Source organism: Homo sapiens, chromosome 21 (assembly GCF_000001405.40).
Source record: "Homo sapiens chromosome 21, GRCh38.p14 Primary Assembly".
Classification (NCBI taxonomy): domain Eukaryota; kingdom Metazoa; phylum Chordata; class Mammalia; order Primates; family Hominidae; genus Homo; species Homo sapiens.
The window spans coordinates 8377649-8405047 of record NC_000021.9 but is presented as its reverse complement, the minus strand read 5'-3'; the positions used below and the strand labels follow the sequence as shown (position 1 = coordinate 8405047).

Genomic DNA, 27399 nt, shown 5'->3' with positions numbered 1-27399 from the left:
GCGGGCCGGCCCCAAAAGAAAAGAAAATAAATAAACGAAAATTATTAATAAATAATGAATGAAGGAAGGGAGGAAGGATATACATACACGTGTATGTAAATGAAATGGGGCTTCGATACATATTCATCCATTAAAAGTAACATAATATAAACGTATTAATTATGGAAATATCATTTACATAGTTTTATCACTACGGGGGGTGTGTGTGTGTGTGTGTGTGTGTGTGTGTGTGTGTGTGTGTGTGTGTGTGTGTGTATGTGTAGATGTATGTTCATACACGGCAGCGTTCAGAAAATAAGATTGAAAAAAGGAAGGAATCGGCCGGGCATGGTGGCTCACATCTGTACTCCCAGCAGTCTTTGGGAGGCCGAGGCGGGCGGATCACTAGGTCGGGAGTTCGAGACCAGCCCGGCCAAAATGGTGAAATTACGTCTTTACTCGAAATAGAAAACTTGCTGTTTGCTTGAACCGTGGAGGCAGAGGCAGCAGCAGCAGCGAGCCGAGAAGGCACCAAGGAGGGAGGGAGGGGAGAGAGACAGAGAGAGAGAGAGAGAGAGAGAAAGAAAGAAAGAAAGAAAGAAAGAAAGAAAAGAAAGAAAGAAAGAAAGAAAGAAAGAAAGAAAGAAAACGCAAGGCAAAACCAAAAAGCAAAAAAGGAGGAAGCATTACTGGCTGACGGCAGCAGTGACTCCCTCTTAAAAGTCCCGCGGACGCAAACTCGCAGTGGGGCTGAAAAAAATGTAGAAGAGGGAGTTCCGCGTGGTCCCAGCTCCACCGCGGGCCGAGGCCGGTGGAGGTCGCCGGCGCGTGAACCGGAATCGACGCCCTCGCGTCGGTGCGCCGCAGCGTCCGGCGGCCGCCTGCTGGTCGACCCGGGACACGTGCAGACGCCAGCTAAGTCCGGAGCTCGCGGGCGGCAGCTGGTCGACCCCGGAGGTGCCGACCGAGACGGGGACGCGGCGGGTCCGGCTCGTCCCGACGGGCACTCTTACACGCCGCTCGGTGGAGAAGGCCCGCCGGTCGACCCGGGACACGGCGAGACAGCGGCTAAGTGTCAAGAGCCGAGAAGGCACCAAGGAAGGGGAGAGAGGGAGGGAGGGGGAGGGAGAGAGAGAGAGAGAGAGAGAGAGAGAGAGAGAGAGAGAGAGAGAGAGAGAGACAGAGAGAGACAGAGAGAAAGAGAGAGAGAGAGAGGGCGAGAGCGAGAGACAGAGAGAGAGAGAGAGAGAGAGAGAGAAAGAGAAAGAGAAAGAAAACGAGCGAGGGAGAGAGCGAGAGAGCGAGAGCGAGAAAGAAAGAAAGAAAGAAAGAAAGAAAGAAAGAAAGAAAGAAAGAAAGAAAAAAAAAAAAAAAAAAAAAAGGCAAGACAAAACCTAAAAGCAAAAAAGGAGGAAGCATTACTGGCTGACGGCAGCAGTGACTCCCTCTTAAAAGTCCCGCGGACGCAAACTCGCGGTGGGGCTGAAAAAAATGTAGAAGAGGGAGTTCCGCGTGGTCCCAGCTCCACCGCGGGCCGAGGCCGGTGGAGGTCGCCGGCGCGTGAACCGGAATCGACGCCCTCGCGTCGGTGCGCCGCAGCGTCCGGCGGCCGCCTGCTGGTCGACCCGGGACACGTGCAGACGCCAGCTAAGTCCGGAGCTCGCGGGCGGCAGCTGGTCGACCCCGGAGGTGCCGACCGAGACGGGGACGCGGCGGGTCCGGCTCGTCCCGACGGGCACTCTTACACGCCGCTCGGTGGAGAAGGCCCGCCGGTCGACCCGGGACACGGCGAGACAGCGGCTAAGTGTCAAGAGCCGAGAAGGCACCAAGGAAGGGGAGAGAGGGAGGGAGGGGGAGGGAGAGAGAGAGAGAGAGAGAGAGAGAGAGAGAGAGAGAGAGAGAGAGAGAGAGACAGAGAGAGACAGAGAGAAAGAGAGAGAGAGAGAGGGCGAGAGCGAGAGACAGAGAGAGAGAGAGAGAGAGAGAGAGAAAGAGAAAGAGAAAGAAAACGAGAGAGGGAGAGAGCGAGAGAGCGAGAGCGGCAAAGAAAGAAAGAAAGAAAGAAAGAAAGAAAGAAAGAAAGAAAGAAAGAAGAAAAAAAAAAAAAAAAAAAGGCAAGACAAAACCTAAAAGCAAAAAAGGAGGAAGCATTACTGGCTGACGGCAGCAGTGACTCCCTCTTAAAAGTCCCGCGGACGCAAACTCGCGGTGGGGCTGAAAAAAATGTAGGAGAGGGAGTTCCGCGTGGTCCCAGCTCCACGGCGGGCCGAGGCCGGTGGAGGTCGCGGGCGCGTGAACGGGAATCAGCGCCCTCGCGTCGGTGCGCCGCAGCGTCCGGCGGCCGCCTGCTGGTCGACCCGGGACACGTGCAGACGCCGGCTAAGTCCGGAGCTCGCGGGCGGCAGCTGGTCGACCCCGGAGGTGCCGACCGAGACGGGGACGCGGCGGGTCCGGCTCGTCCCGACGGGCACTCTTACACGCCGCTCGGTGGAGAAGGCCCGCCGGTCGACCCGGGGCACGGCGAGACAGCGGCTAAGTCTCAAGAGCCGAGAAGGCACCAAGGAAGGGGAGGGAGGGAGGGAGGGAGGGAGGGAGGGAGGGAGGGAGGGAGGGAGAGAGACAGACACACACAGAGACAGAGAGAGAGCGAGAGGGCGTCGCCGCCCGCCGCCCACCACCCGCGGTCTGCTGGTCGACCCGTGCGGAGGAGCGAGGAGGAAGGACGCGCGAGGGCCGGGACCCCGGGTGGCCGCCCCACCGGGGCCCGCGCGGCCAACCCCCGGGACGGGGACCGGCGGGCCACGGGCCCGGCTCGGCGCGGCCGCCTCCGCGGCTCCCAAACCACGCTCCCCGGACCCCGTCCCGGCCCGGAGCGGACGAGCCGCCCCGGCGGTGAACGGGGAGGAGGCGGGAACCGAAGAAGCGGGGCGCGCCGACCGGGGTCGCGCGCCCTCCCCCCCACACCCCCACCACCACGCCCGCGGTCGGCGGGAGAGGCCGGGAGGGAGGAAGACGAACGGAAGGACGGACGGCGCCGGACGCGCACGCCCCGCCGGGCCCCCCGCACGCGCGCGCGCGCGCGCGCGCGGACAAACCCTTGTGTCGAGGGCTGACTTTCAATAGATCGCAGCGAGGGAGCTGCTCTGCTACGTACGAAACCCCGACCCAGAAGCAGGTCGTCTACGAATGGTTTAGCGCCAGGTTCCCCACGAACGTGCGGTGCGTGACGGGCGAGGGGGCGGCCGCCTCTCCGGCCGCGCCCCGTTTCCCAGGACGAAGGGCACTCCGCACCGGACCCCGGTCCCGGCGCGCGGCGGGGCACGCGCCCTCCCGCGCGCGCGGGGCGCGTGGAGGGGGGGGGCGGCCCGCCGGCGGGGACAGGCGGGGGACCGGCTATCCGAGGCCAACCGAGGCTCCGCGGCGCTGCCGTATCGTTCCGCCTGGGCGGGATTCTGACTTAGAGGCGTTCAGTCATAATCCCACAGATGGTAGCTTCGCCCCATTGGCTCCTCAGCCAAGCACATACACCAAATGTCTGAACCTGCGGTTCCTCTCGTACTGAGCAGGATTACCATGGCAACAACACATCATCAGTAGGGTAAAACTAACCTGTCTCACGACGGTCTAAACCCAGCTCACGTTCCCTATTAGTGGGTGAACAATCCAACGCTTGGTGAATTCTGCTTCACAATGATAGGAAGAGCCGACATCGAAGGATCAAAAAGCGACGTCGCTATGAACGCTTGGCCGCCACAAGCCAGTTATCCCTGTGGTAACTTTTCTGACACCTCCTGCTTAAAACCCAAAAGGTCAGAAGGATCGTGAGGCCCCGCTTTCACGGTCTGTATTCGTACTGAAAATCAAGATCAAGCGAGCTTTTGCCCTTCTGCTCCACGGGAGGTTTCTGTCCTCCCTGAGCTCGCCTTAGGACACCTGCGTTACCGTTTGACAGGTGTACCGCCCCAGTCAAACTCCCCACCTGGCACTGTCCCCGGAGCGGGTCGCGCCCGGCCGGCGCGCGGCCGGGCGCTTGGCGCCAGAAGCGAGAGCCCCTCGGGGCTCGCCCCCCCGCCTCACCGGGTCAGTGAAAAAACGATCAGAGTAGTGGTATTTCACCGGCGGCCCGCAGGGCCGGCGGACCCCGCCCCGGGCCCCTCGCGGGGACACCGGGGGGGCGCCGGGGGCCTCCCACTTATTCTACACCTCTCATGTCTCTTCACCGTGCCAGACTAGAGTCAAGCTCAACAGGGTCTTCTTTCCCCGCTGATTCCGCCAAGCCCGTTCCCTTGGCTGTGGTTTCGCTGGATAGTAGGTAGGGACAGTGGGAATCTCGTTCATCCATTCATGCGCGTCACTAATTAGATGACGAGGCATTTGGCTACCTTAAGAGAGTCATAGTTACTCCCGCCGTTTACCCGCGCTTCATTGAATTTCTTCACTTTGACATTCAGAGCACTGGGCAGAAATCACATCGCGTCAACACCCGCCGCGGGCCTTCGCGATGCTTTGTTTTAATTAAACAGTCGGATTCCCCTGGTCCGCACCAGTTCTAAGTCGGCTGCTAGGCGCCGGCCGAGGCGAGGCGCCGCGCGGAACCGCGGCCCCGGGGGCGGACCCGGCGGGGGGGACCGGCCCGCGGCCCCTCCGCCGCCTGCCGCCGCCGCCGCCGCGCGCCGAGGAGGAGGGGGGAACGGGGGGCGGACGGGGCCGGGGGGGTAGGGCGGGGGGACGAACCGCCCCGCCCCGCCGCCCGCCGACCGCCGCCGCCCGACCGCTCCCCGCCCCCAGCGGACGCGCGCGCGACGAGACGTGGGGTGGGGGGGGGGGCGCGCCGGCGCCCGCCGGGCTCCCCGGGGGCGGCCGCGACGCCCGCCGCAGCTGGGGCGATCCACGGGAAGGGCCCGGCTCGCGTCCAGAGTCGCCGCCGCCGCCGGCCCCCCGGGTGCCCGGGCCCCCCTCGCGGGGGACCGTGCCCCCGCCGCCGGGGCCCCGCGGCGGGCCGCCGCCGGCCCCTGCCGCCCCGACCCTTCTCCCCCCGCCGCCGCCCCCACGCGGCGCTCCCCCGGGGAGGGGGGAGGACGGGGAGCGGGGGAGAGAGAGAGAGAGAGGGCGCGGGGCGGGGAGGGAGCGAGCGGCGCGCGCGGGGTGGGGCGGGGGAGGGCCGCGAGGGGGGTGCCCCGGGCGTGGGGGGGGCGGCGGCGCCTCGTCCAGCCGCGGCGCGCGCCCAGCCCCGCTTCGCGCCCCAGCCCGACCGACCCAGCCCTTAGAGCCAATCCTTATCCCGAAGTTACGGATCCGGCTTGCCGACTTCCCTTACCTACATTGTTCCAACATGCCAGAGGCTGTTCACCTTGGAGACCTGCTGCGGATATGGGTACGGCCCGGCGCGAGATTTACACCCTCTCCCCCGGATTTTCAAGGGCCAGCGAGAGCTCACCGGACGCCGCCGGAACCGCGACGCTTTCCAAGGCACGGGCCCCTCTCTCGGGGCGAACCCATTCCAGGGCGCCCTGCCCTTCACAAAGAAAAGAGAACTCTCCCCGGGGCTCCCGCCGGCTTCTCCGGGATCGGTCGCGTTACCGCACTGGACGCCTCGCGGCGCCCATCTCCGCCACTCCGGATTCGGGGATCTGAACCCGACTCCCTTTCGATCGGCCGAGGGCAACGGAGGCCATCGCCCGTCCCTTCGGAACGGCGCTCGCCCATCTCTCAGGACCGACTGACCCATGTTCAACTGCTGTTCACATGGAACCCTTCTCCACTTCGGCCTTCAAAGTTCTCGTTTGAATATTTGCTACTACCACCAAGATCTGCACCTGCGGCGGCTCCACCCGGGCCCGCGCCCTAGGCTTCAAGGCTCACCGCAGCGGCCCTCCTACTCGTCGCGGCGTAGCGTCCGCGGGGCTCCGGGGGCGGGGAGCGGGGCGTGGGCGGGAGGAGGGGAGGAGGCGTGGGGGGGGGGCGGGGGAGGACCCCACACACCCCCGCCGCCGCCGCCGCCCTCCGACGCACACCACACGCGCGCGCGCGCGCGCCGCCCCCGCCGCTCCCGTCCACTCTCGACTGCCGGCGACGGCCGGGTATGGGCCCGACGCTCCAGCGCCATCCATTTTCAGGGCTAGTTGATTCGGCAGGTGAGTTGTTACACACTCCTTAGCGGATTCCGACTTCCATGGCCACCGTCCTGCTGTCTATATCAACCAACACCTTTTCTGGGGTCTGATGAGCGTCGGCATCGGGCGCCTTAACCCGGCGTTCGGTTCATCCCGCAGCGCCAGTTCTGCTTACCAAAAGTGGCCCACTAGGCACTCGCATTCCACGCCCGGCTCCACGCCAGCGAGCCGGGCTTCTTACCCATTTAAAGTTTGAGAATAGGTTGAGATCGTTTCGGCCCCAAGACCTCTAATCATTCGCTTTACCGGATAAAACTGCGTGGCGGGGGTGCGTCGGGTCTGCGAGAGCGCCAGCTATCCTGAGGGAAACTTCGGAGGGAACCAGCTACTAGATGGTTCGATTAGTCTTTCGCCCCTATACCCAGGTCGGACGACCGATTTGCACGTCAGGACCGCTACGGACCTCCACCAGAGTTTCCTCTGGCTTCGCCCTGCCCAGGCATAGTTCACCATCTTTCGGGTCCTAACACGTGCGCTCGTGCTCCACCTCCCCGGCGCGGCGGGCGAGACGGGCCGGTGGTGCGCCCTCGGCGGACTGGAGAGGCCTCGGGATCCCACCTCGGCCGGCGAGCGCGCCGGCCTTCACCTTCATTGCGCCACGGCGGCTTTCGTGCGAGCCCCCGACTCGCGCACGTGTTAGACTCCTTGGTCCGTGTTTCAAGACGGGTCGGGTGGGTAGCCGACGTCGCCGCCGACCCCGTGCGCTCGCTCCGCCGTCCCCCTCTTCGGGGGACGCGCGCGTGGCCCCGAGAGAACCTCCCCCCGGGCCCGACGGCGCGACCCGCCCGGGGCGCACTGGGGACAGTCCGCCCCGCCCCCCGACCCGCGCGCGGCACCCCCCCCGTCGCCGGGGCGGGGGCGCGGGGAGGATGGGTGGGACAGTCTTCTCGCCGTGGGAGGGGTGGCCCGGTCCCCCCACAAGGAGACGCCGGCGCGCCCCCGCGGGGGAGACCCCCCTCGCGGGGGATTCCCCGCGGGGGTGGGCGCCGGGAGGGGGGAGAGCGCGGCGACGGGTCTCGCTCCCTCGGCCCCGGGATTCGGCGAGTGCTGCTGCCGGGGGGGCTGTAACACTCGGGGGGGGTTTCGGTCCCGCCGCCGCCGCCGCCGCCGCCACCGCCGCCGCCGCCCCGACCCGCGCGCCCTCCCGAGGGAGGACGCGGGGCCGGGGCGGAGACGGGGAGGAGGAGGACGGACGGACGGACGGACGGGGCCCCCCGAGCCACCTTCCCCGCCGGCCTTCCCAGCCGTCCCGGAGCCGGTCGCGGCGCACCGCCGCGGTGGAAATGCGCCCGGCGGCGGCCGGTCGCCGGTCGGGGGACGGTCCCCCGCCGACCCCACCCCCGGCCCCGCCCGCCCACCCCCGCACCCGCCGGAGCCCGCCCCCTCCGGGGAGGAGGAGGAGGGGCGGCGGGGGAAGGGAGGGCGGGTGGAGGGGTCGGGAGGAACGGGGGGCGGGAAAGATCCGCCGGGCCGCCGACACGGCCGGACCCGCCGCCGGGTTGAATCCTCCGGGCGGACTGCGCGGACCCCACCCGTTTACCTCTTAACGGTTTCACGCCCTCTTGAACTCTCTCTTCAAAGTTCTTTTCAACTTTCCCTTACGGTACTTGTTGACTATCGGTCTCGTGCCGGTATTTAGCCTTAGATGGAGTTTACCACCCGCTTTGGGCTGCATTCCCAAGCAACCCGACTCCGGGAAGACCCGGGCCCGGCGCGCCGGGGGCCGCTACCGGCCTCACACCGTCCACGGGCTGGGCCTCGATCAGAAGGACTTGGGCCCCCCACGAGCGGCGCCGGGGAGCGGGTCTTCCGTACGCCACATGTCCCGCGCCCCGCCGCGGGGCGGGGATTCGGCGCTGGGCTCTTCCCTGTTCACTCGCCGTTACTGAGGGAATCCTGGTTAGTTTCTTTTCCTCCGCTGACTAATATGCTTAAATTCAGCGGGTCGCCACGTCTGATCTGAGGTCGCGTCTCGGAGGGGGACGGGCCGCTCGGCGGACGGACGGACGGAATCGCGCCGGCCCGACCGCCCGCCCGACGCTCCGTCGGGAGACGGGCCCGGCGAGGGGGAGAGGCGACGGGAGAGAGAGCCGCGGCCGAGGGCACCCCCGCGCCGCCCCGCCGGAGCGGGACGACCGGAGGGAGGGGCACGGGCCGGGGGCGGGACGGGCGCCGCACGCCCCGACCCGTCTCCCCCGCGGAGGTCGGGGGGACGGGTCCGAGGACGCGGCGGCGGAGCCGCCCCGCCCCGACGCGGAAGCTCGGGACGGGGCCCCGGCGCGGCGCGGCGCGGCCGCGAGCCGGAGGCGGGCGCGCGACGGCGGACGACACCGCGGCGTCCCGCGGGTCGCCGCCGGGGACACGCGAACCCCGGCGCCGCGGCCACGGGCGCGGCCGGGCGGGCCGCGGGGCGGGCTCCCGGCCCCGGCCGACGCGCCGCGAGGCGAGCCGGGCGGGCGGGCGCGCGTACGCGCGGGGAGGGCGAGGAGGACAGGGCGGGCCCTCGGAGGAGGGGCGGCGGGGGAGGAGGAGGGGCGCGGGAGCGGCGGTCGGCGGACGCCGGGCGCCACCGGGGGCGGGCGGCGAACCGCGGCGACCGGGACGCGCTCCCCCGACCCTCTCTCCCCGCCGGCACCCTTCCCCTTCCGGACCCGCCTTCCTCCTCCCCCACCACCACACCGCACGCAACACGCCCCCACCGCCGACGACGCGCGACGACGACGACGACGGGCACGGGACCTTCCACCCGGCCGGGGCCGACGAACCCCGAACCCCGAGCCGCGCGCGGCGCGAGGGAGCCCCCCGAGGGAGGAACCCGGACCGCAGGCGGCGGCCACGGGAACTCGGCCCGAGCCGGCTCTCTCTTTCCCTCTCCGTCTTCGCGGGCGGCGGCGGCGCCGCCCTCCCCGTCTCTCTCAGCCGGGCGCGCCCCCCTCTCCCCCCCGCCACCCGACGCGTGACCACGCAGGGCCCGCGGGGGGAGGGGGAAGGGGCGGGCGCGGCGGCAAGAGGAGGGCGGACGCCGCCGGGTCTGCGCTTAGGGGGACGGAGGGCCCCCGGCGGGCCCTGCGAGGGAACCCCCAGCCGCGCACCCCGAGGAGCCCGGAGGCACCCCCGGGGGCGATTGATCGGCAAGCGACGCTCAGACAGGCGTAGCCCCGGGAGGAACCCGGGGCCGCAAGTGCGTTCGAAGTGTCGATGATCAATGTGTCCTGCAATTCACATTAATTCTCGCAGCTAGCTGCGTTCTTCATCGACGCACGAGCCGAGTGATCCACCGCTAAGAGTCGTACGAGGTCGATTTGGCGAGGGCGCTCCCGACGACGCACCGGGAGGAGGCCCTTCCTGGCGCGGCACGTCCCCCCGCCCCCCCCCAAGAGGAGAGGGGGTTGCCTCAGGCCGGCCAGACGAGACAGCAAACGGGACCGGACTCCGGAGAGGGGTCGGAAGGTTTCACACCACGGGGAGGCGCGCGCCGCCCACGCGGGGGCGAGCGCGGACACCACCCCACAGGCGCCCGGGGGTTCCCGCCCCCACGGCGCGGGGCGCACGCCACACGCGCGGCAGGCGCGCGACGGCCGCCGGGTAAAGCCCCCACCCGACGGCCGCCGCGGCGGCGGCGGCGGCGCGGCCCCGGCCGGGGAGCGGAGTCCGCGGTGGAGGCGCGGGAGGGGCCGGGCCCCTCCCGACGGGACTCCCCCGCGGGCCCACCACCGCCCCCGACCCACGGGCGGACGGGCGATCCCCCCAAGGGGTCTTTAAACCTCCGCGCCGGAACGCGCTAGGTACCTGGACGGCGGGGGGGCGGACGAGGAGGCGGGGGAGGGGACCGGCGTCCGGCCCCCGACCCTCGAGACGCCCTAGCGGGAAGGCCGGGGAGAGCGAGCGGGGCCGTGCCCGGCGGCGCGGAGCGGCGCGGCGGAGGCGACGGGAATCCGGCCGGCCCCGAAGACGGGGAGCCGGCGCGGCGGGGCCGGACGACGGGCCCCGGCGGGGAGGAGGGCACCGAGACCCCCAGACCCGCCGCGACGCCGCCGAGAACCGCCCCCGCGCCCGCCGACACCCACGCCGTCGGGGCCGCTGCCGGGGACCGCTCCCCGCCGCCCGCCGGCCCCACGACACGCGCACACCAACGACACGCCCTTCTTTCTCTTTCTCTCTCTCTCTCTCTCTCCCCCGTCTCCCTCCCGAGTTCTCCGGCTCTCGCGGCCGGCGGGGCCGGGCGGCGAACGAACGAGCGAGCGAACGAACGGGCACGCGGGCCCCGCCCGCGCACGCGCCGCGTCGCGGTGGGGGGGTGGGTGTGCGGAGGGAAGCGCGCGGCGGCGGCGCCGCCGCGGGCCTCGCCCTCCGGGCTCCGTTAATGATCCTTCCGCAGGTTCACCTACGGAAACCTTGTTACGACTTTTACTTCCTCTAGATAGTCAAGTTCGACCGTCTTCTCAGCGCTCCGCCAGGGCCGTGGGCCGACCCCGGCGGGGCCGATCCGAGGGCCTCACTAAACCATCCAATCGGTAGTAGCGACGGGCGGTGTGTACAAAGGGCAGGGACTTAATCAACGCAAGCTTATGACCCGCACTTACTGGGAATTCCTCGTTCATGGGGAATAATTGCAATCCCCGATCCCCATCACGAATGGGGTTCAACGGGTTACCCGCGCCTGCCGGCGTAGGGTAGGCACACGCTGAGCCAGTCAGTGTAGCGCGCGTGCAGCCCCGGACATCTAAGGGCATCACAGACCTGTTATTGCTCAATCTCGGGTGGCTGAACGCCACTTGTCCCTCTAAGAAGTTGGGGGACGCCGACCGCTCGGGGGTCGCGTAACTAGTTAGCATGCCAGAGTCTCGTTCGTTATCGGAATTAACCAGACAAATCGCTCCACCAACTAAGAACGGCCATGCACCACCACCCACGGAATCGAGAAAGAGCTATCAATCTGTCAATCCTGTCCGTGTCCGGGCCGGGTGAGGTTTCCCGTGTTGAGTCAAATTAAGCCGCAGGCTCCACTCCTGGTGGTGCCCTTCCGTCAATTCCTTTAAGTTTCAGCTTTGCAACCATACTCCCCCCGGAACCCAAAGACTTTGGTTTCCCGGAAGCTGCCCGGCGGGTCATGGGAATAACGCCGCCGCATCGCCGGTCGGCATCGTTTATGGTCGGAACTACGACGGTATCTGATCGTCTTCGAACCTCCGACTTTCGTTCTTGATTAATGAAAACATTCTTGGCAAATGCTTTCGCTCTGGTCCGTCTTGCGCCGGTCCAAGAATTTCACCTCTAGCGGCGCAATACGAATGCCCCCGGCCGTCCCTCTTAATCATGGCCTCAGTTCCGAAAACCAACAAAATAGAACCGCGGTCCTATTCCATTATTCCTAGCTGCGGTATCCAGGCGGCTCGGGCCTGCTTTGAACACTCTAATTTTTTCAAAGTAAACGCTTCGGGCCCCGCGGGACACTCAGCTAAGAGCATCGAGGGGGCGCCGAGAGGCAAGGGGCGGGGACGGGCGGTGGCTCGCCTCGCGGCGGACCGCCCGCCCGCTCCCAAGATCCAACTACGAGCTTTTTAACTGCAGCAACTTTAATATACGCTATTGGAGCTGGAATTACCGCGGCTGCTGGCACCAGACTTGCCCTCCAATGGATCCTCGTTAAAGGATTTAAAGTGGACTCATTCCAATTACAGGGCCTCGAAAGAGTCCTGTATTGTTATTTTTCGTCACTACCTCCCCGGGTCGGGAGTGGGTAATTTGCGCGCCTGCTGCCTTCCTTGGATGTGGTAGCCGTTTCTCAGGCTCCCTCTCCGGAATCGAACCCTGATTCCCCGTCACCCGTGGTCACCATGGTAGGCACGGCGACTACCATCGAAAGTTGATAGGGCAGACGTTCGAATGGGTCGTCGCCGCCACGGGGGGCGTGCGATCGGCCCGAGGTTATCTAGAGTCACCAAAGCCGCCGGCGCCCGCCCCCCGGCCGGGGCCGGAGAGGGGCTGACCGGGTTGGTTTTGATCTGATAAATGCACGCATCCCCCCCGCGAAGGGGGTCAGCGCCCGTCGGCATGTATTAGCTCTAGAATTACCACAGTTATCCAAGTAGGAGAGGAGCGAGCGACCAAAGGAACCATAACTGATTTAATGAGCCATTCGCAGTTTCACTGTACCGGCCGTGCGTACTTAGACATGCATGGCTTAATCTTTGAGACAAGCATATGCTACTGGCAGGATCAACCAGGTAGGTAAGGTAGAGCGCGGCGAGGCCCCGACGCGGCCGGACGGCCGGCCGGGGGGCCTCGCGAGGACGGGCCCGGCGCCCCGCAAGCGAGGAGGACGACGGACGGACGGACGGACGGGCCGCGGACGGGCGGACGGGAGGGAGCGAGCGGGCGCGGGGGCGGCGGCCGGGACCGGTGGGGCCGGGGCGGGGCGCGGCGAACCGGACGCCCCAACCACCCGCCCCCCACGCGACACGACCACCGGGGCCCCGCGCCACAGACCCGCGACGCTTCTTCGTCGCGCCCGCCCGCGAGGAGGCGGACGGCCCGACCCGCGCCCGGCGGCCGGGAGGGACCGGCGGCCACGCGCGCGCGCATGGCGCCCGCGGGCGCGCGCAGGCGGGGACGGCGCTCCGCCGCCCCGCGGGCACCCGACGTCCGGGCGCGAGCGAGAGGCGGACCGCGGTGCCCGGCCCGGGGACAGTCGCGCCGTGCGCCGCAGCGCCCGCGCACCGGTCCGGTCGAGTGCCCGGGGCCGTCCGAAGCCCGGCTCCGAGCCCCGCCGGCGGCGCGGCGCAGGGGTGGCACACGCCACACGACGGCCAAGGGAGGGCGACCGAGGCCGGCCGGCGCGCCCGCCCCGCCCGGGACGGGGGACCGCGACCGGGGCCGAGGCCCGGCCCGGGCCCCACCCCCCGACCCGGGGAGAGGGCGAGCGACCGGCAAGGCGGAGGTCGACCCACGCCACACGTCGCACGAACGCCTGTCCGGGAGGGACCACCGGGCCGGCTCGGGCACGCGCGCGCCGAACGGGCGACGCCACGCGGGGAGGACGGGCTCTCCCCGACGCCGACGCCCGGGACGGACGCCTCGGGGAAAGGGCCGCGGCAGGCCCGGGAAGCGAGCGCACCCGGGGGACGCGCCGACCCGGTTCGGAAGAGCGGGCCGGGAGAAGACGAGAGACCACGGCGAGGCGGGGCGACGGGGAAGGCGCGAGAAAGGCGGCCGGCGGGGAAAGGGGACGCACGGGACCCTCGAGCGCGGCCGACCGCAGCCGGGACACACGCGCGGGGCCTCACCGCCGCCGGCGGCACCGCGCGGCACCCGGGGCGGCCGACCGGCCCTCGGCGATCCCCGCGGCTCCCCCCACCACCGCCGCCGCAGTCGCGGCCGGTCCCCCGGAACCGTCTCCTCCCCCGCACGCGCCGCAGGCCGACCCCCGGAACCCTCCGGGAAGCCCACCGGGCCCCACGCGGGGCGCCACCGACCCGGTCCCCAAGGCGCGCGCCGGGGGACGCGGACGCCGGGCCGATCAGTGGCCGGCGGCGGCGCCCCACGAGGCGGTGCCGGGTTCGGTCCCAGGCGGGGCCACCAACGGACGTGAAGCCGGTGAGCCGCTCGGGGGGAAGAAGAGGATCGGCGGGCGGCGGGCGGGGAAGAGGGCACAGACGGGCGAGGGCCGGGGACCGCGAGGGCAAGGGCACCCGGGAGCCCGCAGAGGCGGCGGCTCCGGGAGAAACCTCAGGCACGGCCGGGCCACCAGGAAAACACGGCCGCGGGATCCCACCGCCACAGACACGAGGGCGGTCCCGCGGCGCCCCGCCTGGGACGCCGGACGGCCCTCGGCCCCCACCGAGAACCGCCTCGCGAGCCCCGGGGCCCCGCCACCGGGGGCCCCGGAGCGACCGCAGCCACGAACCCGACACGCCACCACCACCGTCGCTCGTGATTCTCGTCCATCCTCCGACCCGGTCCCGCTCCGGGAGACCGGCGCGCCCCCACCGTGGGACGCTTTCCCAGGGCCAGGCGGGCCCGACCCCGTGCCACGCAAACGCGGTCGTCGGCACCGGTCACGACTCGGCACGGGAGCGGGCGGAGAGCCGACTCGCGGCGGAGGGAGTCACGCGCCGGACAGAGCGCCGGGCGCGCACACCCACCGCCCGCCGGCCGCCGCGTCCCAACCCGCTGGGACGCCGGGCCCGGCCCGGCGGGATCCTCCCCCGACTCGGAAGGGGGAGGCGCGGGCCACAGTAGGCGACGAGCCGCACTCGGCCACCACCGCGGTGGCCGGCGGAACCCTCGCTTCTCCCCCCCAACCCCGTCGAGGGGGAAGCGGAGGAGGGTCCTCTGCGAGCGGGTCGCTACGGCAGCGCTACCATAACGGAGGCAGAGACAGAGGCGGCGGCCCGGGGGATCCGGTACCCCCAAGGCACGCCTCTCAGATCGCTAGAGAAGGCTTTTCTCACCGAGGGTGGGTCACACTCCCCCCACCCGCCAGCCGCTCCTCCTCGGGCCCGCAGAGGCGCCGAGGGACGCCTGGGGAAGGGAGGGGGCCCTGCGGTACGAGGAAACACCTGCGCGCGGCCACCTCGAGCGTTCGCGTTCAGGGCGGGGGCCCGGCCGGTGCGCGCGTGCGCGCAACCCCACCAGGCCCCCCCGTCCACCCACCTCCTTCCTTCCGAGGCAGAGCGCCTCCGAAGTCAACCCACACACGACCGGTCGGAGGCAGAACGGCAGCCCCTCGGCGGCCGGCCGGCGCACGCGTCACACCGGCCCGAACCCACCGCGATCGCTCACACGGCCCGCGCGCACCCGCCAGAGGGGAGCACGGGACGTGCGCTCACCGAGAGCAGGCGGGCGCCCTTCCCCGCGTGGGAGGGGCGCGTCTCGTCTCGTCTCACTCAAACCGCCCCGAACCCCACACCGACGAGCTCCCTCAGGACCCACGCGCGGACACCGCGGCGGCGACCGGAGGAGGGGGCGCCGGGGGCGGGAACGACACACCACCGTTCGGCCTCGGGCACCTGAGGGACAACCCGGAGCGCTCCAGGAGCACCGCAAGGGCCCAGGCGGAGCCGACGCTCGCGCAAACCCCCCGAGAGGGCAGCACGACGGGCCGGCGGGACGGCACCCCCACCGCCGCGGAGGGGGGCCGCCCGCAAGTCGACAACCACTGGAGGCGACAGCGAGGGCTGTCTGCCGCGTCAGAGGACCCCGCCGGCCCGCACCCGCGACGCAGAAGGCGGCGGGCGGGACGGCGAGGTCGGGCCGGGGTCCGCACCCCACGCCTTCCCACACGCACCGCCGGCGGGCGGGGAGAGGAGAGACGAGGGGACCCCCGCGGGGCGGAGCGAGAAGGACGGTCCCGTTCGCCACGAACGTCCGCCCCTCGCCCGTCGCGGCTCGGACCCGGCCCGGGAGAGCACGACGTCACCACATCGATCACGAAGAGCCCCCCGGGAGCGGAGGCCGGCCGGCCGGCCAGCGAGCCGATCGGCTCCGGCCAACCCCCCACTCCGGGGAAGGGGCGGCGGACAACCCCGCGGAGACGAGAACGCCTGACACGCACGGCACGGAGCCAGCGGGGTGGGGTTGTCGCGGCCGCCCCGGGCGCCCGCAGCGGAGAGCGCACGGGGGCACGGTGGCCCTCGCCGCCTTCCCCGCCGCCCCCGGGTGGGTCAGAGACCCGGACCCGGGCCGGCACCGGGAGTCGGGACGCTCGGACGCGCGAGAGAACAGCAGGCCCGCGGGCCCCGGCAGGCGGCTCAAGCAGGAGCGCGGCCGGCTAGCCGGGTCACCGGTAGGCCAGAGCCCCGCGCGCATCCGGAGGCCCAACCTCTCCAGCGACAGGTCGCCAGAGGACAGCGTGTCAGCAATAACCCGGCGGCCCAAAATGCCGACTCGGAGCGAAAGATATACCTCCCCCGGGGCCGGGAGGTCGCGTCACCGACCACGCCGCCGGCCCAGGCGACGCGCGACACGGACACCTGTCCCCAAAAACGCCACCATCGCAGCCACACACGGAGCGCCCGGGGCCCTCTGGTCAACCCCAGGACACACGCGGGAGCAGCGCCGGGCCGGGGACGCCCTCCCGGCCGCCCGTGCCACACGCAGGGGGCCGGCCCGTGTCTCCAGAGCGGGAGCCGGAAGCATTTTCGGCCGGCCCCTCCTACGACCGGGACACACGAGGGACCGAAGGCCGGCCAGGCGCGACCTCTCGGGCCGCACGCGCGCTCAGGGAGCGCTCTCCGACTCCGCACGGGGACTCGCCAGAAAGGATCGCGGCAGAGGGACCGCTCCCCGGCACCCGGGGGACGGGGGCGGGACGGTCCCCGGCTCCCCACGGGGACTCGGAAACGAATTCGGCCGCCGCCTCAGACGGCCAGGATGAGCGCGGACCCGCGACCGGGCCGGGAAGGGCGTCCCCAGCCTCCCGCGCCACGCGCGGCGGGTCCCCGCGGGTCGCGGCTCGGGCCTCGGGAGCTACGGCGCGCTGGTCGACCGGCCCGGGCAGCCCCACGCCCGCCGCGGGCCCAGAAGCGCAGCGACAGCCTCTCCCCCACATAAACCTGCACGCCAGAGCTGTGACTCACAAGCGACGCGCCACAGCTCTGGCGCCACCGGGCCAGCCGGGCTGACGACCGCGGGCTTTCCGGAGCTCTGCCTAGCTCACAGCGGGGACGGTCCCCTCCCTCGGCAGCTGCCACCGCAGCTCCGGAAGCCGAGAGCACGATCTCAAAGCGGCCGCCAGATGGAGCCCGACAACCGCCGCGGACGTCAGCGAGACAGATCCGGCTGGCAGGGCGGCCCGTGGACCGCGAAAGCGAAACCGTGAGTCGAGAAGCTCTTCCCGAGGCCGAAAACGCAGCCCCTCTGCCCCAACCCCACACAAACGGTGCCCAAAACGCGTCTCTGCCTCGACCGCGACAGAGTCAGAAGACAACCCACGGCGCGTGGGTGTTTGGAGATGCCTCTCGGAAGCAGGGAGGGAGGGAGGGAGGGAGGGAGGGAGGGAGAAAGAACACACAAGGACTCGGTCGCGGGTCGCTGCAGACACACGGAGAGGCAGAATGCGTAGGCTCTTCCGGAATCCACGCAGAGACAGACGGGGGGAGGGGAGTGGGGAAAAGAGACAGATGGCGAAAGGGAAGGAGGGAGGGAAGGGAGCAGGGAGGGAGGGAGGGAGGGAGGGAGGAAGACAATGGAGAAAAGAGAGACAATTTAGAAAACGTAGATACACAAAGTAAACTTCTGAAACACTCCATTTTTTAAAAGACAGACGGGAAGGAAAGAAACACGAAAAAGAGAGAAAGAATGAGGAAAGAAACGAAGGAAAGAAGGGAAAAAGAAACAGAGAGGAAAGAAAAAAGAAGGAAACACAGGGAACGAAAGAGAAATAAAGCACGAAGGAAAAAAGGACAGAAAGAGAGAAAGAAGGAAAGGAAGAGAGGAAGAAAAACCTAAAGAAGGAGAGAAAGGAAGAAAGGAAGGAAGAAAAACACGAAGGAGAGGAAGAAAGAAAACAGAGATAACTACGTACGCTCGTTCATTTACACACATAAATACGACGCTTTTCATACGTAAAATAAACGTCTTTATCGACGATCCCTTCTTTATAGAGCGATGTGTATTTATTTGTATAACACAGACACCTACATCTATCATACAGAAGTCTATTTCCATACAACCGATACGTATTTACCATACGCAAGAGTATTCAATGCAGAGATACACGTTGTCGTTGTTTGCATATAAGCGTACAGAAACGTTTACATTAATACATATAAGTAAACGCGTGGAAACGAAAGAAATAAAAAAGCGAAATGAGTCAACAGGCCGGGCACGGTGGCTCACGCCCGTCATCCCAGCACTTCGAGAGGCCGAGGTGGGCGCATCACAGGAGGTCGGGAGTTGGAGACCAGCCTGAGCAACATGGAGAGACACGGCGTGCCTACTAAAAACACAAACATCAGCCAAGCCAGGCGTGGGGGTGCCTCCCTGTAATCCCCGCTAATCGGGAGGCTGAGGCAGGAGAAGCGCTCGAACCCGGGAGGCGGAAGGTGCGGTGAGCCAAGACCGCGCCATTGCACTCTAGCCGTGGAAACAAGAGTGAAACTCTGTCTCAAAAGGACGAAACAGAAAGAAAGAAAGAAAGGAAGGAAGGAAGGAAGGAAGGAAGAAAGAAAGAAAAGAAAGAAGGAATGAATGAAAGAAAAGAAAGCAAGAAAGAAAGAAAGAAAGAAAAAGAAAAGAAAGAAAGAAAAGAAAGCAAGAAAGCACGAAAGCAAGCAAGCAAGAAAGCAAGAAAACAAGGAAGCAAGAAAGCAAGCAAGAAAGAAACAAAAGAAAGAAAGCAAGAAAACAAGAAAGCACGAAAGCAAGCAAGCAAGAAAGCAAGAAAACAAGGAAGCAAGAAAGAAAGAAACAAAAGAAAGAAAGAAAACAAGAAAGCAAGAAAGCACGAAAGCAATCAAGCAAGAAAGCAAGCAGGAAAGAAACAAAAGAAAGAAAGAAATCGAGAAAACAAGAAAGCACGAAAGCAAGCAAGCAAGAAAGCAAGCAAGAAAGAAACAAAAGAAAGAAAGAAAGAAAGAAAACAGGAAAGCAAGAAAGCACGAAAGCAAGCAAGCAAGAAAGCAAGCAGGAAAGAAACAAAAGAAAGAAAGAAATCGAGAAAACAAGAAAGCACGAAAGCAAGCAAGCAGGAAAGCAAGCAAGAAAGAAAGAAAAGAAAGAAAGAAAGAAAGAAAACAGGAAAGCAAGAAAGCACGAAAGCAAGCAAGCAAGCAAGAAAGCAAGCAAGAAAGAAACAAAAGAAAGAAAGAAAGAAAGAAAACAGGAAAGCAAGAAAGCACGAAAGCAAGCAAGCAAGCAAGAAAGCAAGCATGAAAGAAACGAAAGAAAGAAAGAAAGAAAGAAAACGGGAAAGGAAGAAAGCACGAAAGCAAGCAAGCAAGCGAGCGAGAGAGAGAGAGAGAGAGAGAGAGAGAGAGAGGCTGGGCGCGGTGGCTCACGCCTGTCATCCCAGCACTTTGGGAGGCTAAGGCAGGCGGACCACCTGAGGTTGGGAGTGGGAGACCAGCCTGACCAACATGGAAAAACACCGTCTCTACTAAAAGTACAAACATCAGCCAGGCACGGTGGCCCATGCCTGTAATCCCAGCTAATCAGGAGGCTGAGGCAGGAGAATCGCTTGAACCTGGGAGGCGGAGGGTGCGGTGAGCCGAGATCGCGCCATTGCCCTCTAGCCTGGGCAACAAGAGTGAAACTCTGTCTCAAAAAAAAGAAGAAGAAGAAGAAGAAAAAGAGAAAGTAATAAAGAAAGAAAGAAAGAAAGAAAAGGCAAGGCCAGGCAAGGCCAGGCAAGGCAAATCTACCTGCTTTCACTACATCTGGGGAGAATCAGGAAAGTCCCCAACAACAACAAGGCCTAAAGTGGAGCTGCCATCTGTCAAACCCGAGCGGAAGAGTCCACGCGGGTTAAAGACACGAAGAAAGACAAGGAAACCCCTGACCAAGGAGAAGAACAATCGGGCCCAGCCAGGGTCTGTCTCCCGGGGTTGTCTGGGCAACCAGGGAGGGCGGGCCTCCGAGACTCCGTCTCGAAACATCAATCACGATAATAACATAAAATGAAGTTAAAAAAAGAAATCACGCATAATTCCTAACGTGTTTGAGGCCTCGAAAGGCGAGAGGCGTATGTGTACGTCACGGTGGGGTTGTTCTGTTTTGTTGTTTTTTTCTTTTTTCTTTTCTTCTTTTTCCCCAGAAACTCACTTTTTAATTATTTTGTTGCGTTTCATTTTCATTTTCATTTTGCCTTCAAGTCCAGCGTCGCAAGCATGGCAATACCCCTTCTCTACTAATGTTCAAAAATTAGCAGGGCATTATGGCGCGTGACTGTAATCCCGGCCACTCAGGAGGATGAGACTGGAGAATCGCTTCAACCCGGGAGATATTTGCTGCAGTGAACCCAGTGCACCACTGCATTCCAGCCTGGGTGGCTGAGCGAGAGTCCGTCTTAAAAAAAAAAAAAAAGACACAAGAAAGAACAGACCAAAATACTCCATTGTTTCAGAACATTTCCCCAGAAGACCCCAAACGCCCTGAGTCAGGTCAAGGAGGTGGTGCTTTATTTTACTTGTCTCTCTCTCTTTCTCTCTCTCTCTCTTTCTTCCCTAACTGTTATTTGTTTTTGAAGCATACATGTGCAAGATTGTTTCATAGGTAAACTTCTGAGTAGGGGGTTCAGTGTGCCGATGATTTCCTCACCCGGATTCTCAGCGCAGTCCCCTACAGTTTTTGTGTTCTGCTCGTTTTGCTTTGTCCTGAAGCTGTCTGTCCTTCCACACGTCCTCCCTCAGGTAGGCTCCTGCGTCTCTCGTCCCCCTAGTTCTTCGCATGCATTCTCATTATGTAGTTCCCACTTATGTGTGAGAACACGCGGTATTTAGATGATTATTGTTTCATCTTCGGTGGTGGTGATGAAAGAGGCATGACACTACATCGACCCTTAGGACGCTCCCCTCCATCCCCACCCTACACCCCCTCCCCACGCACACCGTCTTTCCTGCACCCCCTCCTGAAACCCAACAAACGAAGAAAGACAGAAATTAAAGTAAGAGTTCAGCCACCAAGGCGGTGGTGGGGGGGAATCTCAAACGGTGAGCAGGCGATGGGAGTCTGGGGATGTCATGGCCTAGGTAGCAACAATAGGGGACCGACTTTCCAGCCCCCACCCCACACTCCCTAATCCTCAGCCATCACTTTGGAGTTCATCCAAGGAAGGCTGGTCTCAGGGACTACATACCTAACCTCTCTGGGCTTCTATAGGATAAGATGTTATGGCCAGACGCGGAGCTCACGCCTTTAATCTCAGCACTTTGGGTGGTCAAGTTGGGTGGTACGCCTCAGGTTGGGTGTTCTAGACCAGCCTGACCATTATGGAGCTACCTAGTCTCTATGAAAAAAAAAAAATTAGCCAGGCCTGGAGGTGTTTGCCTGTGGTTTCAGCTACTCGAAAGGGTGAAGACTGGAAAATCTCTTGAACACAGGCGGCAGAGGTTGCGGTGAGCTGAGGTCACGCCACTGAACTCCAGCCTGGGCAATAAGAGCGAAACTCCACCTGAAAGACAAAAAAAAAAAAAAAAAAAATGAAAAGGAAAGAAGATTTTATGAAGTATAGTTTATACCAATCGGCTCTCACTGTACCTTGAGAGATTCCGAAAATCGCTACTTAATGACCGAAGAAAACACCAGCTAACAGGTTTTGGGGAAAATACACATCTTCCTAAAATTGGTAAAATCTACTTCAACTGAAAAGAGATAAGTAAAGTAAAAACTACAAACAAAACAAAACGTAAAAACAAACACAGACCAAGGCATCGCTTGTGGAAATATTATGTAAGCAAATTGTCACTTTTTAGAAAGCATTTCTATGTTGGGCAAATACCAGTAAGGCCCAGGGAAGATCTGTGAAATGTGGCAGCATGCACCATTTTAAGGGCTGAAATCCATCTGTGTGTCTCCTTTCATCACAACTCTTTTTTTTGGGCGGGCGGATACCTGGAGTTCATGAGTTCAAGAGCAGTCTGGGCAATATAGCAAAATTCTGACTACTAAAAAGGCAAATGTTAGCTGGGTATGGTGTCACACAGAACTATGTTCCAAGAGGAAGCATCACAAATACCCATGGTCCGCAGTCAAGAAATGAACTGAGTTTACAAGTTTGTAGTGTCATTGCTGCCTCGAAAGGTGAGATGCATATGTTTGTGTCACTGCGGGTTTCTATTTCTTCTTGGAAACTCACTTATTTTTAATTACTTTTTTTTTTTTTAGATGGAATCTGACTCTGTCACCCAAGCTGGAGTCCAGTGGCATGATCTGGGCTGACTGCAATCTCCATCTCCCGGCTTCAACAGATTCTACTACCTCAGCATATAGAGTAGCTGGGAGTAGAGGTGTGTGACACCACACCTGGTTAATTTTTGTATTCTTCATACAGACAGAGTTTGACTATGTTGGCCAGGCTGGTCTCAAACTCCTGACCTCGTAATCCTCCCACATCCGCCTAGCAAACTGCTGAGATGAGAGGAGTGGCCCACTGCACCCAGCCTACTGGTTTATTTTTAAAAATAGCAATTTGGGTCGGGCGCAGTGTGTCTCGCCTTTCTATATCAACCAACATTCTTTCTCGAGTCTGATGACCTGGGATCTCCCAGCACTTTGGGAGGACGAGGCCACAGGATTCCTGGAAGTTGGAGTTCAAGACCAGCCTGGGCAACATGGGAAAACCCTGTCTTTACTAAAAAGGTAAAAGTTAGCTGGGTATGGTGGCACGTGCCTGTTATCCCAGCTACTCGAGAGGCTAAGGCAAGAGAATCGCTGGAACCTGGGAGGCGGAGGTTGCAGTGGCCCGATACTGCGCCATGGCCTGACCAACAGAACAAGACTCCATCTCAAATAAATTAATAAATACGTTAGTTAATCGAAAAGTTTAAAAAGAAAACTTCAAGGACGTTGCAGGAATGCACGGGAATGCTTCTCTCATTCCTAAAGATCAGAGCAGAAACACAGTACCATCAGGTTGAGATACAGGCCATTGTGAATCTCTTCTCACTGTGCTCAACTGACACCAAAGAAGGGCAGGTTTCCATGCCGCCCGTTCATCATCACCGCTCTCGTCAAGTATAATTGCAGAGTCATGACTACACAGAGATCTCTCAACCCACCAACTGCGTCCTTACTTGTATGAGTGCAGTTGAAAGAATAAACAGGGCATTTAGCGAAGTAATCATCATATGTTCTTTTGTCTCTCGTGTCTCTCATGAAACCAATCACATTCGTGGACCACTTTTTCCCCACCCTTCGAACATCCACAGAGCATCAAAATAAAAGAGCAGTGAATGCCTTTTACGCGACAAGGAGGAAAAACAACAAAGTGAAAGTCACAGAGGCTTGTGATACACAGGGAGATACAGAATAAGGAGAATTTTCCAAAATCCACACAAAGACAGACAGACAGAGGGATGGAAAGAAAGAAATGAAGAAAAGAGAGAGAGAGTAAGGAAGATCAAGAAAAAGAAAATAGACAGACAGAGATGTAAAGGGAAGAAAGATGAAAAAGAAAACCAAAAGACATAGAAACAGAAAAAAAAAGAATGAGAAATGAGAGAAAAAAGGGAGGAAGAAAAAGAGAGAAGAAAAAGAAAAGACAGAAAGAAAGAGAAAGAAAAAAAGAGAAAAAATGAAGGAAATAAAAAAGAGGGCAGGGCATTGTGGCTCACACCTATAATCCCAGCACTTTGGGAGGCTGAGTTGGAAGAATTGCTAGAGCCTAGGACTTTGAGACCAGCCCTGGCAACACAGTGAGACCCCGTCTCTACTGAAAAAGAAAAGAAAAGAAAAAAATCCGGGCATTATGATGGCAGGCGCCTGTGGTCCCAGATCCTTTGGAGCCTGAGTTGAGAACATCGCTTGGGGTCGGGAGGTGGAGGCTGCAGCGGGTCTTGGTCAGACAAATGCTCTGCAGTCTGTTTCCGAGGCTGTCTTGAACTCCCGAGCTCTAGCGAACTGCCCTCCTCAGCCTCCGAAATTGCAGCCGCCACAACCAACGGTCCTGAAGGTGTCATTGACAGATTTTAGTAAACAGGGTGTTTCGCCATATTGCGAATTTGAACCCAGGCATTTGAAGCTGCAGTGACCCAAAGTCGCGCCACTGCACTGCACTCTGGGTGATAGAGGAAGACTCCATCTCTAAATAATTACATAAATAATAAAAACAATAACAATAATGACAAACAATAATACAAAGAAATAATAAGCAGCAATAATAATAAACAAACTCGTGGGAGTGAAAAACTATAAAAGGTAATTTAGATCACAGTTAATTGCAGTTTATTTCAAGGAATTTTTTTCTTTAACCTGTCTCTCTTACCTTCTGAAACACTCAGACTGGAGGGCAAGGCATCATCACGGCTCACTTCAGCTTCGACATCACAGAATTAAGTGATTCCTGTAGTCTCAGCCACTTGGAAGGCTGAGATAGGAAGATCACCTGAGGGAGTCCTGGAAAGTCGAGGCGGCTGTAAGCCGAGATTGCATTCTTACACTCCAACCTGCCTCAAAAACTACAAATAAATAAAAGGTAAATGTAAAACAACAGCAACTTCAGTGTGTAGAAAGAGGAGCAAGAAAAATAAAAGAAAAACAAAACGAAGAGAAACTGAAAGTACTGTGGAAACAGTTGGAGAGGAAGAAACAACGCAAGGAAAAAGCGACACCTAGTGAATGCGGGCGGTACTGCTGCTGACCAAAGTTATCTGGTCTACCTTAGAAATCCCAAGTTGACGGTCAAGTCCAACGCTTGCCGCGGACATCAGGTGGGCACGGCGACCAGAGACCTGAGGACTGGGGCCTTAGGCCCTGGTCCCAGGTCTTCCAGACAGAGAAGCCCGCGGCCGTGTCAACTGGATGTTGCTTGCTTCCCGCAGTCGGCTGATTCGCGGGCTGATCGGGAAGCCAAAGGCCAGCATCTAATCGACAGGGTCCACCCTAAAGACCAAATGTGGTGCTCGCGGAGGGAAGCGATCAGACGCAGTTGGAACCTTATCACACAGAACCGGCCCAGGTTTGAGGCCGTCTAACTTGGCAGACCTGCCAGCCATTTCCCCGCAGTCCGCTGGTTGACCCGGACAGAGAAGAGGAGTAAAGACACAAGGGTAGTGACTAGCTAGTCTTTCATCCCAGCACCCCTGAGGCGGGGAGAGGGACTGTGACCCCAACAGCCACCCACGGGCATCGCGCGAACACTACTCAGGCAGGGACTGCAGGGGCAAAACCTCTGACACCCGCGCCTCAGCCATTCGCACGAGGCTCGAAGAATCCGGTCCCAACTCGTGGAGGAATTCCCAGCGGGATGGGAGAAAGAAGCTCAATCAGAGAGGTGGAACATCGAGCAGGGGCGCCAACCCTACCTCGCAACCCCCAGCGCTGCATCTTGGAAAGCCTGCTGTTGGGGAACGACCCCTCCCAAATGCACGGCCGACGCCAATGTTATCTCGCGAGAGACAGCCCTGCATGCCCTGGGGCTCCGGGGCGGGGGGCCTGAGCAGGCCCGGGAACTAAGTCCCCGGGGGCAAAAGGAGGAAAGAAGGAAGGTAGAGGTCCAGGGCTGAATTATACAGGACACGCCACAACGCTAGTTTTCCCGCACACTGGTTGAGAGCCCCTTGTGTGGAGGGCTGACTTTCAATAGGTTGCAGTGAGGGAGTTGCTCTGCTCCATAGGAAACCCTGACCCAGAAGCAGGGCGTTTACCAATAGTTTAGTATCAGATTCCCCATAAGCATGTTATGTGACGGGCCAGGGAGCAAACGCCTTTCTGGCCGCACCCCGTTTTTTAGGATGGGGGGCCGCACCCCATTTTTTAGGATGATAAGACCGGAGCAAGGTCTTGGCGCACAGCGGGGCGGAGCGTCCGGCCGGTGGCAAAGGCTGGGGACTGGCTATCTGAGGCCAACCGAGTCTTGCCAGCGCTGCTGCATCCTTTCTTCTGGGCGGGATTCTGATTTAGAGGCGTTCAGTCATAATCCCACAGATGGTAGCTTCACCCCATTGGTTCCTCAGTCAAGCACATACACCAAATGTGTGAAACTTTGATTCCTCTCATACTCAGCAGGATTACCATGGTAGCAACACATGGGCAACAACACATGGAGAACACACGCAGTAAAACTAACCTGTCTCACATGGGTCTAACCATGATGTTTTCCAGGGCATGCACTCCGCTTTTAGATGAATCCATTCCACTTTGCCTTGCCCTTCACAAAGAAAAGAGAACTCGCTGGCCACAGTGGCTCACGCCTGTAATCCCGGCACATTGAAAGGCTGAGGCTGACGGATCACCTGATGGCAGGAGTTCGAGTCCAGCGTGGCCAACATGGTTAAACCCTGTCTCTATGAAAATACAAAAATTAGCTGGGCATAATAACGGGTGCCTGTTAACCCAGCTCCTCGGTAGGCTGAGGCAGTAGAATCGCCTGAAACCAGGAAGCGGATGTTGCAGTGAGCCGAGATTGCTCCATTGGGCTCCATCCTGAGCCTCTAAGCGAGACTCCATCTCAAAAAAGAAAAAAAAAAAAAAAAAAAACGAGAACTCTCTCTAGGGCTCCCACCTGCTTTTGCAGAATCAGAGAATGTGATTGCCGGCAAAGGTTGAGGGGAGGGCGCAGGGGAAAGAAGGGGGAGGAGCAAAGGCTGGAGACACAATAGCTCACTCTGGAACCTTTCCAAGTTTAGTGGGGACAATTTTGAAACTAGCTGACTCTGGAAATTACACATAATTCATAGTATTATTGCTTCTTTGAAAGGTGAGCGGTTCATGATTTTTTTTCTCAGCATTTATTCATTTACTTGTAATAAGTGCATTTAGTTTCATACAGTTTACATACAACCGGTTTGACTGTATCTGCAGAGATTTAGGATAGTTTTTCTTAATGGTAAGCCCTAGGGTGGAGCTACAATGCACTTTCCGTTGTGAACCCTGAAAACTTGAGAGAGGTCTCAGTTAATTTAGAAAGTTTACGTAACCAAGGTTCAGGACGCATACCCGTGACAGCCTCAGGAGGTTCTGAGGACATGTGCCTAAGGTAAACAGAGAACATTATCGTTTTATACATTCTAGGGAGACATGAGACATCAATCAAAGTATGCAAGATGAACATTGGTTCGGTCTGCAAAGGCGGGACAAATTAGCAAACGCGGGAAGACTGAAAGTGAGGAGGGGACTTCCTGGTCAAAGGTAGTTAAGAGACAAATGGTTGCATTCTTTGGAGTTTCTAATTAGCCTCTCCAAAGGAGGCAATCAAATATACATTTATCGCTTGAAACCAGGAGGCGAATGTTGCAGTGAGCCGAGATTGCTCCACTGGGCTCCAGCTTGAGCATCTGAGCGAGACTCCATCTCAAAAAAGAAAAAAAAAAAGAGAAAAGAGCAGAGGAGTGACTTTGAATAGAATGGCAGGTTGGCCCTAAACAGTTGCCAGCTTGACTTTTCCCTTTACTTTAGTGATTTGGAAGCCTCAAGATTTATTTTTCTTTCACACACACAATTTTTAAAACCCAGGTAGAACTGTTCATGCTTACTAAAAAAAAAAAAAAAAAAAAAAAAGGAAGAAAGAAAAACAAATGATAGCCTAGGCGCCCTGGCTTATTTCTGTAAACTCAGCACTTTAAGAGGCTGAGGTGGGTGGATCATCTGA

At 61.1% G+C, this 27399-nt stretch overlaps 5 non-coding genes across 5 annotated transcripts; all 5 read right to left on the bottom strand.

Moving 5' to 3' along the window:
* Window positions 1-2704: 2704 nt before the first annotated feature.
* Window positions 2705-16013, bottom strand: RNA45SN3 (RNA, 45S pre-ribosomal N3). The gene has a single exon (NR_146151.1). It is a non-coding gene; the product is annotated as an RNA, 45S pre-ribosomal N3 (ribosomal RNA).
* On the bottom strand, window positions 3068-8122 carry RNA28SN3 (RNA, 28S ribosomal N3). Its single transcript, NR_146154.1, has one exon. It is a non-coding gene; the product is annotated as an RNA, 28S ribosomal RNA N3 (ribosomal RNA).
* Window positions 9286-9442, bottom strand: RNA5-8SN3 (RNA, 5.8S ribosomal N3). Its single transcript, NR_146153.1, has one exon. It is a non-coding gene; the product is annotated as an RNA, 5.8S ribosomal RNA N3 (ribosomal RNA).
* On the bottom strand, window positions 10514-12382 carry RNA18SN3 (RNA, 18S ribosomal N3). Its single transcript, NR_146152.1, has one exon. It is a non-coding gene; the product is annotated as an RNA, 18S ribosomal RNA N3 (ribosomal RNA).
* A 581-nt stretch (window positions 16014-16594) lies between the features above and the next one.
* MIR6724-3 (microRNA 6724-3) lies at window positions 16595-16686 on the bottom strand. Its single transcript, NR_128716.1, has one exon. It is a non-coding gene; the product is annotated as a microRNA 6724-3 (primary transcript).
* Between the last annotated feature and the right edge of the window lie 10713 nt (window positions 16687-27399).